This window comes from Homo sapiens, chromosome 2 (assembly GCF_000001405.40).
Source record: "Homo sapiens chromosome 2, GRCh38.p14 Primary Assembly".
Classification (NCBI taxonomy): Eukaryota; Metazoa; Chordata; class Mammalia; order Primates; family Hominidae; genus Homo; species Homo sapiens.
Genome location: NC_000002.12, coordinates 209,991,776 through 210,002,588, shown reverse-complemented (window position 1 = coordinate 210,002,588; position 10,813 = coordinate 209,991,776). Strand labels below are relative to the sequence as shown.

General features: G+C 40.4%; 1 protein-coding gene across 3 annotated transcripts in view; it reads right to left on the bottom strand.

Annotated features, from left to right (window-relative positions):
- Window positions 3,293–10,813, bottom strand: part of UNC80 (unc-80 subunit of NALCN channel complex) — a 227,465-nt gene continuing 219,944 nt past the window's right edge. For all 3 annotated transcript variants that reach the window (NM_032504.2, NM_001371986.1, NM_182587.4), the window contains 4 exons: window positions 10,342–10,423; window positions 9,163–9,274; window positions 8,325–8,524; window positions 3,293–7,260 (listed from right to left, as the gene is read on the bottom strand). In NM_032504.2, the coding sequence (NP_115893.1) occupies window positions 6,994–7,260; window positions 8,325–8,524; window positions 9,163–9,274; window positions 10,342–10,423 (661 nt within the window). In that variant the 3' untranslated portion in view covers window positions 3,293–6,993. The remainder of the gene's footprint in view (window positions 7,261–8,324; window positions 8,525–9,162; window positions 9,275–10,341; window positions 10,424–10,813) is intronic.

Genomic DNA, 10,813 nt, shown 5'->3' with positions numbered 1-10,813 from the left:
GTTTTGGCCCCGCCCCTTCTCCGTACAGGCTTCCGGATTCTACCGGAAGCAGCCACTCTGCGGTGAGGAAGTCCCGCCTCCTCCTGGGGTGGGGCGCTGTCAGCCGTCCGCCTGGGGCGGGGCGGGGCACACGGGCCTCGTACACCTGATTTTGACCTTCCTTCTTGTGCTGTTTGGATCTTAACGTCCTCGCAGTACTCAAGGCGTTTCTTAACCTTTTTTCACTTTGCTTCTCCTGCAGTTCCCTCTCCTCGGCTCTTGACTTAACATCACTTTTTGTTTCTCCACCCTTTGCATATGCCTTTCTTTCCTCTCCAGCGCCTATGCTGGCCCTTTAAAACAACAATTAAAAACCTTTCTTCCTCGTATTTCTCCTAGAGCTCTTCTTTTGAGCTGGAGGAACCCTGGCTCTGCCAGATACTAGCTGGGTGACCTGGCAAATCACTTCTTAACTTCGGTTTTCTCATCTGTAAAGACAGTGCCCAGCTTTAGGGTTGTATTAAATGAGTGAAGCCAGGTAATGCGCCCAGCAGGATGCCTGGTGCTCAGTACAAAATGGTAGTTATTATTATATTACCCTCTTTTTCTGCCTTTGCAGTTCCTCCTTACCTTTTTTGTTTTTCCCTCTGTTGAGGCTCAGAAAATGATAGCCCAAAGTGAAGGCCTCAGACGCAACAGTGTTTCTCTGACTTCCTGCCCTGCTCTCTTCTCAGTCTCATTCTAGGAGGCAGGTCATAGAAACTGGAGCCCATCTTCCCTAAGAAGAGTCATTGAAACCGGAACCCCCTTTCCCTGAAGCCAGACACAAAACCCAAAAGCATTACTCTAACTTTCCTCCACCTTTCTGTGTAAAAACTGGCCATAAATTATTTGACCCATCTCAACTGTAGGTTATAAAACTCCTCTTCTAGAGAAGGTTCTATCCCATATCCAGGAGGAGGGAATGCTGCACAGAGAGGCCAGGAATCTAAACTAGACTGGCCAAGGCCAGGTCAGTCTATTAGCATTAGATCGCCTATTTTGTCCAATCGTATTTCTACATGGCTGTCTATACTTTGTTGAACCTAAGTATAAAAATGGGTAATCACCCCTGTACCTTTGGGTCTTCATTCTGAAGGCTCCTGTGTCAGGTAAAACTATAATCAAATAAGTTTTTATGCCTTTTCTCCTGTTAATCTTCTTTCTGTCAGTGATTTTCAGCAAACCTTTGGAGGGTGAAGGGAAAGTTTTCCCTTGGCCCCTACACCTCTCCAATGCTCATTCACAAATTGTGATAGGTTTGTGTGCTGTTCACACACAGTTCAGAAATGGATGAGTATCCTGATGCTAAATGTGCCTAGGGTCAGGAAAAGAGACAGAAGTAAAACCACTTGGCGGGGATAAATGGACTTAGCAAGAGCAATCCTTAAGGGGTCAGAATAGAGCACTTGTACTCTGTGTAAAAGACGGAAGTGGTAACTTGGACTGAGAGGTGACAGCGTGCTGGCAGCCCTCGCTCACTCTCGGTGCCTTCTTGGCCTTGGCACCCACTCTGGCCGCGCTTGAGGAGCCTTTCAGCCCACCGCTGCACTGTGGGAGTCCGTCTGGGCTGGCCAAGGCCGGAGCTGGCTCCCTCAGCTTGTGGGGAGGTATGCAGGGAGAGGCACAGGCGGGAACTGGGACTGCAAGGCACTTGTGGGCCAGCGCGAGTTCGAGGTGGGCGTGGGCTCTGCGGCCCCGCACTTGGGTGGGCCGGCTGGCCTGCTGGCCCCGGGCAGTGAGGGGCTTAGCACCTGGGCCAGCAGCTGCTGTGCTGGATTTCTTGCCAGGCCTTAGCTGCCTCCCTCTACGGGGCAGGGCTCGGGACCTGCAGCCCACCATGCCTGAGCCTCCCCTCCATGCCGTGGGCTCCTGCGCGCCCAGCGTCCCTGAGGAGCGCCGCCCCCTGCTCCACAGCACCCAGTCCCATCGACCGCCCAAGGGCTGAGGAGTGCCGGCGCACAGTAGGGGACTGGCAGGTAGCTCCACCTGCCGCCCCAGTATGGGATCCACTGGGTGAAGCCAGCTGGGCTCCTGAGTCTGGTGGGGACTTGGAGAATCTTTATGTCTAGCTGAGGGATTGTAAATACACCAATCAGCACTCTGTATCTAGCTCAAGGTTTGTAAACACACCAATCAGCACCCTGTGTCTAGCTCAGGGTTTGTGAATGCACCAATGGGCACTCTGTATCTAGTTAATCTGGCAGGGACTTGGAGAATCTTTATGTCTAGCTAAGGGATTGTGAATGCACCAATTGGCACTCTGTATCTAGCTCAAGGTTTGTAAATGCACCAATCAGCACTCTGTGTCTAGCTCAGGGTTTGTAAATACACCAATGGACACTCTGTATCTAGCTAATCTAGTAGGAGAACTTTTGTGTCTAGCTCAGGGATTGTAAACGCACCAGTCAGCACCCTGTCAAAACGGACCAATCGGCTCTCTGTAAAATGGACCAATCAGCAGGGTGTGGGTGGGGCCAGATAAGAGAAGAAAAGGCTGCCTGAGCCAGCAGTGGCAACCGGCTTGGGTCCCCTTCTGAGCTGTGGTATGTTTGTTCTTTTGCTCTTTGCACTAAATCTTGCTACTGCTCACCTTTGGGTCCACACTGCCTTTATGAGCTATAACATTCACCACAAAGGTTTGCAGCTTCACTCCTGAAGCCAGCGAGACCACGAACCCACTGGGAGGAATGAACAACTCCAGACGCACCGCCTTAAGAGCTGTAACACTCACCGCGAAGGTCTGCAGCTTCACTCCTGAAGCCAGCGAGACCACGAACCCACCAGAAGGAAGAAACTCCAAACACATCTGAACATCAGAAGGAACAAACTCCGGATACGCTGCCTTTAAGAACTGTAACACTCACCGCAAGGGTCCGTGGCTTCATTCTTGAAGTCATTGAGACCAAGAACCCACCAATTCCTGACACAGGACCACGTATTTCTGGCCACATTGTGAGGGCAACCAGATCTTTAACAATCCCACTGGGAAATCTACCAGTTATTCCAGTAGATGAAAGCCTGGGCAGAGAAGTTTATTTTTATTTTTTAAAGGTAGATTTGCAAAGCATGAGTAGAGTAGAGCTCAGTTTGTGGGGAGGGGTCACGGAGAGTGTATTGGAGGTGTCTAATTGGATGGTGACCTCAGGCCAGACTGGGGAGGTTGAGGATGGACAGCAAGGCATTAACAAAGGCACACCCCAGGAATCCAAAATGAACATCTTCCTGAAGGAGTCAAGCTATTACCTACATTAAGAAATGAAACTTAGGCATCTTTAATGTTTTTAGATTTATTTTATCATATGTGCATACCTAAACACAGAAGTCTTAATATCTTTCATAAATATCTTTCATAAACATTTCAGTATTTATTCATATGCATTTTTTCCATGTTCTTTGGTCATTCAGTACTCATAATAGACTTCATAGTTATCTGAGGGAAGTCGGCTGTGTAGTCAATTTTTTGTTTTAACCTATAAAATGGCTAATAAAGGATTTTCATCCTGTGGTCACAGTGACAATTCAAAGATTTATGGAGGTAAATTGATCTGTAATCCTAAATGATCATAAAATAATATCAGTAAATTTGTCTTAAGCTTTTCCAAATACATTCTGCCCTCAACTTGTTTTTATTCTCCTGAGTGTCAAATCAAAATTTGTTTCTGAAATGCTGCAGTTGAGACCCACTAAAGTAAAAAGAAGTGGGATTTTTTACTCCCTGCCAAGACAAGGCCATGGAATGGGAAGTGTGAGGTCACAGGGCAACAGCATGACTTGGTGTGATAGCAGCGAATTCTGGAGACTGTGTTCTATTAAAGTATCCTTTATAACTTGAGGAAGGATATTTAATTCATGTTTCAGACTGTACTTCTATTCATTTATGACCCTTTCTTCCCTAAAAGCCCCTCCACACACATCCTATTCTCATCTCAGATACTCTCAGAGCTGGGCAGCAGAGTGGAGAAAGTTCTTTGTTGACTAAAGGAATATAATGCTAAAGAAGAGAGGAGCTATCACCTTGTTTAAGGTACTCTTGGAGGCTTGAAACAGCAAACCAGTTACTCCCAGCCTGTGCAACAGGCCCTAACCAGATCACCAGTACCACAGATTTTTCCACCAGCACTGCCATGCCCATTTATGCCCTTTGATTTTGACACTGTAGTTCTCAGTGCCTTGTCTTAATACACTCAATAACTCAGTTTCTTTTTCAGAAAAATGACATAGCTTATCTAATAGAATTCTAGAAAGCAGCAAATACTGAAAAATGAAAGTAAAATGTTTTGCTATAGGAGATCCTATATCCAGAATTTAAACTGTTTTAATTGGATCTGAGTCATACTATCATGGATAACACATGGTTTATTCCAAGGTCTCTCAAAAGCTAATTTCAGAAGAAGCAACCTCTTTGCTGAGTCTAATTTTTTCTACATGGGAAGTGGGTACCTTTTTTGTTTTTCCTCTGAATAAGATAAATATCATTAAGTATCATGGCTTAAGAAATGATCTACTATTACCAACACTGCATTTATCATATGTAGTAATTAGCTTTTAGTCATGTACTTAATAATATTTTGAACATTTATCTTGAGCTTTTTTCTAATCTTCCCCAACTTTTTTTTTTAATAGTTATTCCTTTCAAACTCCAGGTAACAGTATTCCTGAGAATACATCTTGTGACAGTTTTATGCACATACATATAGATACTTTAGCCATTACACATAAACATTCAACACATTACATTCAACACATTTAAGGGCACCTTAAATGGAACAGATGCACACATCTGCAAAATTTCAGTAGTCCCAGTATGAAAACATTCCTACTCTATAAGGCCCTGTTTCTCAGAGTGGAGGCTTTTTTGCAAGTTACAACATTGCTTAGCTTATTGAAAGTTGCTAATAGACTTCACACACAAGAGTGAAGGAGTCAGGCTAAAAGACAGACAGACCAGCATAATCATGTTCAGAACAGCCCAATACTTTTAAAATACATATAAAGGTATTTATGATTCTTGTTGAATATTTAACAATCTTCTTTGACTTCTTTGCTATTTAAATATTTCATACAATTATACATAGATAATTTGAAGAAACTGGAACAAAGCACACACATATATAGAGACGCGCCAATAGCCCAGACACTTGTAATTACCAAACATAAGGCCTCTAATGCTAATTTAGCAGCATAATTTTTAACAGGTGAAATATATCAGCTTGGAATCATAAAACCACTTAACATTTATATTCCTGCACTTGAGAATTATTTCAGCATTAACTGTAAATAACATGATAATATTGTAAAACATAAAAGAGTAAAAGAGGTCATTTACTGCCTCAATTTTCTTTCAATTGTTAGATCTGAAATTTTTAGTTTTGTTCTTTTAACTCATGGATATCTTTCATTCTCTTAGTGAATAGGACCATAACCCCAAGTTATATTTGAAATTATAAACCACAGTATAAAGTATGCCTATTTAATAAGCAATTCTAACAAAAAATAATTTTCCTTTATGATTAAGGTGGGTTTAGTAGGTATCCTCTTTATATATGTATACATTTCACAGCCAACGCACTCAAAGTTTAAGCATACAGAATGTGTTTTAAATTCATTGCAGGGTAATTAAAGTCTATATTTAACTTCATCTTGAGGACTACAACACATACACACACACACGCACGCACACATACACCACCGTACCAATTTAAGTATGTATATGAGTTTGTATATGCTTGGTTGTTAGGTAACAGTTTTCTAATGTAAACTGTTAAAATTTTGAAATTCAATTGTGAACCACGTGATGCACAGCCCTACCATAGGATCAGTAACACACTAGGTGTTGGCCTCACAAGCCTTCTAAGTGTTACACTTTTCTTGAAGTAATTGAACTTCAAGTTAAAGGCCTATTTGCAAAATATATAAACTGGAGGTGTCTATGAAGAAATTGCTTACTTTATACATTTTTCCTTATAAACTTAGATGTTCCAAGTATCATAAGAATATTGTTTCTATTAGGAAAATGTTATTTTATTAAACCGATTCTAACAACACTAACCTTAATATCTGAAAATATGCCCTCCAGGGCAGGCACAGGATACTATAAGGAAAAGTATTACTAATCACATTTTCCAATAGCTTCTAATCTTGGTATTGATGTAGTCAGGGCTAGGAATAGGAATACCATCTCTTTTAAGTGATTATATATACATTTAGTTTTTATAATTGTATAGGCTGTTTAGGTTCTTAATTCAGAATTATTTCTGATGATTTCTAGAATATTCTGTAATATTCTAATGTGATAGATTATGAAATGGGATGATCTTATGCCATCTGCATTTTGATTTACAACATGCAATGAAAATGATAGTTGAAAAATAAATATCTAAAAGTCCACAGCTCTCTATATAGTATTTTTTTCTTCTTCTAAATGGCTGTATTGTTACTCAAAACAAAAATGGCTGCAGGCTTGTTATTTAGTCTCCCCAAAGTAATATTTTTCCTATTAATTATTTTTTTATGTAAATTGCTACTTGTATAGCCAACCTGAATTGATATTTTTTAAACTATAAAAATAAATATTTGCATGAGATGTATAATGTGAGTAATCTCAAAAAATTGCATTCTATTTTTAGATCATATCATTTGTTAATATTTCTATGAAAGCAGCAATGAATAGTATATATTTTTAACTGCTGAAGGCTTCTTGAATCATAAACAATGTGCAGTGAAATGGCTCTTTCCCCTTATTCCTCCCTGGTTTTGTGATTTTCACACAACTAAATCCTTTTAGCCATTGACTTTTAAGATGTTTATGAAACATCATGTGTATTGGCAGCAAAACCTATTCAGATTTGTGCCACCCATTAGAAGTAAAGTGCTATTTTGTAATTAATCTTTTTCAAGCAAAAGTATTGAACTTGTAGTAGAGAGATCACTTTCATGTCTTCTCTATACCTGCAGAGCTTACAAGATACAGAATTAAACATGAGACTCATCTAATACTGCATCCGTTTTCCCCAGCTCAGTGGGAGTAAAGGTGAACTGACTAGATAGTAGCGGGTTCTCCATGCCATTTTCCTCACTGATATGAAGGACAGTGTCTCCATGCTGTAGGAGGCTGGATGTCTCGAGGCCTGTGAAGTCATCAGGGTCAGAGAGTTGGGCAGAGAGTGGACTGTGTGCAGTAGCACCTTGTGCTTCTGTGTCCTCCTCCTTTTCTCCTTCTTCAGTGGGGAAGTTCTCACTCTGTGATCAAAAGGATCATAACATTATGGAAAGATAGGATGGGTACCAGAGAAGAACATCAAAAAATGTTGTTGTCTAGTGGTAATTGGAAAAGGAATCAGATGGCTAGTCCCAGTTCCAGCCTTTGTTATAGGTAGGACCTTACGTAGGCCTTTCCAACTTTCTAACCCTCAGTTTTTGAACATGTAACATGAACACAATTTTTTGTCTTGCTTATCTTGTAGACTGTGAGGATCAAATGAGATAATAATGCTTAGTGTTAAAATGTTTTTTAACCATTAAAGACTATACAAATGTATACAGTAACATTGCCCTTTAGTTTTCCTTAAATACCACATGAGAAGAATCTGACACTCTAAGAATTCATTTATAAAAATGAAAAGAAAAAATATACCAAAACAAGAAAAATATCAACAGGAAAAATAGCAAAACAATGAGGAAAAAGATGAAAACAAAAAGTTCCTTTCATCTTATAGGACATAGAGGTTCTATATTTAGAGGCTTTATCTAAACTGGTAACTTAATTTTTTTAAATTGAACTATCTTTCAGCTATCCTTTATCTGAATGCTTGGAAACACAAGTGCTTTGGATTCTGATTTTGGAATATTTGCATTATATACTTACCTGGTTGAGCATCCTTAATCCAAAAATCTGAAATCCAAAATGCTCCAATAAGCATTTTCTTTGAGCATGAACTTTGAATATTACATCAGCACTTACAAAGTTTCAAATTTTTCTGAAAAAAAGTTTCAGATTTTTGTATTAGGGATGCTCAACCTGTATAAACCTGTTTTAAAGAGCTGTTTTAGCTGCAAAGTATTTCCTCTTAGGTTTTTCATAGGTAAAAATAGCAAGGCTTTTCTTGGTCCTTCTTAAGCAGATATATGCCTGGCTATACTTTATATAGATTTTTCTCTTTCATGATGGCAGGAGCAGTATCTGTTTGGATAACAAAGCATTGCAGACCTGGACTTAATTATATGGAATAAATGTGCATATCCAAGTGGCTGCTAGAAGTAAGTACACAGGGAGCAAGCCTTGCCTGTTTCTCTAGTGCCCTCACCTGCTTGGGAGACACGCTGTGGAGATCCGCAACAACTATGGCGGGAGAAGATGTGAGGACTGGTTCGTCCATTGCTTCTGGTTTCCTAGAAGGGGCTGGGCTACAGCCCTGTAGTTGGCCTGTTGCAGGAAGCGCATCTGTTGGGGCAGCTGCTGGCTCTGGCTGAGCCTCAATGAAGGTCACAGATCGTTTCTGATCCGCTGCAGGTAGAGGTGAAACAGTAAATTGGGGAGGAGTTGGTGGAAACGGACCGTCAATGCTTAATAGTTGGTATTAACCAGTGTCTCCTGGGGATTTTTTAAAATAAAAACATTGCTGGTTTATTAATAAATGAGAGCACGTTTGAACATTTTGCGCATGTTTGATTTTATCTTCTTACAAAGAGTAAGACTTACGTAGAAAAATCATTTTCACGTAAATGGCCTAAAATAACATTTGTATAGAATATTAATTGAAGTTGATCATTCCTCATAACAACTGCCAACAGGACTTAAAAGTCCCTATTATTCATCATAGCTTTACCTTCAGTGAGACATACAGCAAACCCAGTCCTTGGCTTCAGTAAAGAAGCCACATCCTTTTATAGTCAAATTTCCCAGTATTAGTGGTTTACCTTGGGCTCTTCCATTTTTTATAGGTTCATGGGGGTACAGACAGGGACTGGGGAAGGCAAGAAGAAAAAAAAGACACTACAGTTTTCTGGGAAACTCCTTCCCTTATGTTAGCACCTCCCCAAAGGTGTGCTTATCTCCATCAGCTTGGTTTTTGTAAGCCTTCCTGGGTGAGTTGCATGGCATCATGTCAATGGTATAGTCAGAAGGGACACAGGAGGCCTCACCAGACGGCTTCGTTTTAGGTTGAATGCTCCTGCGAGTGGTTGACAGCCGAGCCCCTTGGCGATTTCTGGGTTCAGTCTGAGTTTTCTGACGTGATAGTAGAGGACGTCTTAGCTAAAGAGAATAGGCAGAATAAAACTTGCAAGAGGGTCTAACTGCCTAGGAGGAAATTGTTTCTTTATTTATATGTTTCTGTGGATTCTTATGGTTGTTCCTTACATTTATAGCTGATAAATTTATTTCTGCATATTTAACTATAAGTATTTTCTTCTGACATTCCCTTTAGCTAGTTCATCTCCCAATTATTAGTCCTTTATATATGCCAAGAACATTGACTAACATAATTTAGATCATAAACTTGAGAATTTCAGTAATTTTAGGATGCAAAGTGAATAACTATTGCTTACTGATCAACCTTTGCTCATTTAAAACTTATAGCTGGACATATGCTTTCAAAGGGGAAGTTTATTTTCAAAACCTCAGATGCTGGCCAAGTGCCTGGTACCTGAATCAATAATGGGAAGCTCCTAAGGAAGCAACAGTGATAAGCTGCTTTCAGACTTTTATTTAGAAAGTAATGTAAAAGAACTCCACCTAAGGAAATCTCTAAAGATGATCTTTACTTCAGTTTGCTTTAAATTAAATAATCTTGAAATGAGAAAGAAAGGACTTCTTTTTCTTTGCCTTTATGCAGAAACAGGCCTTAAATCAACTGTATAACAAATCTTCCTCTATCAATAAGTTTGGCTGGTAAAGAAAGTTTCTGGGTAAGGAACAAATAGAATTATAGCCCCACTTACTTTACCACATAATCAGCTTTGCTAATAAGAAAATTCAGAGCTAAAATAGAAGATCGAAACATTTGGCTTGCCTAAGTACTTACCACGTTTTAAAGTTGCTCTGTGCTGCTTATTTTAGGTAGGGTGAATGCAAAATATAAACTTTAAAAAAAAAACATTGTTTTATTTATTTAGTTAGTTTTTTAGAGACAGAGTCTTACTATGTTGCCCAGGCTGGACTCTAACTCCTGGGCTCAAGCAATCCTCCCACATCAGCCTCCCCAGTAGCTGGGATTCCGGGCACGTCCAGCAGCAAAATATCTTAATATACATGGGCATTAAAAATCACACAGAGCTTCCAATTCGTAGGATGGTTCTCTTGCGCTTTAAGGGTCTACTTACCTGCCTCAGGCCCCTCTTCCTCCCCAGCGGCTGCTGAACAAGGAGGTTCTGTTGACCAGGTTCACTCTGTATACTTGCCACCCTGCCAAGCATCAACAGTGTTAGTGTACCCCGGAGAGAGTACAGGAGACTGTCCTCTGGTGGGTGTTAGCCAAAATCACTTGTATGATACAGTCACTTCAAAGATACCATTATCTTTGAAGGATGGTTGGGAGAGTCCCTGGGATGGGTGTTTTCAAATGTTTGGGAGGGAGGACAAGGCCTTGTAGCCCCAAGCTGCCAAAATTGAGATTCTGTTTTCAATCACTGATGCCGTATCTATCATTCAGAAAACATTGGTTTGATCACACCCCTGGTTTGGAAGCCACCAAAAGGTATAAGATGTCATATTCTAATCTCAATTTTTTTTCCAAGGGGAAGGGAAACGGTGGTGACAAACAAACACAAACAACTCTATCACATGGATGGGAAC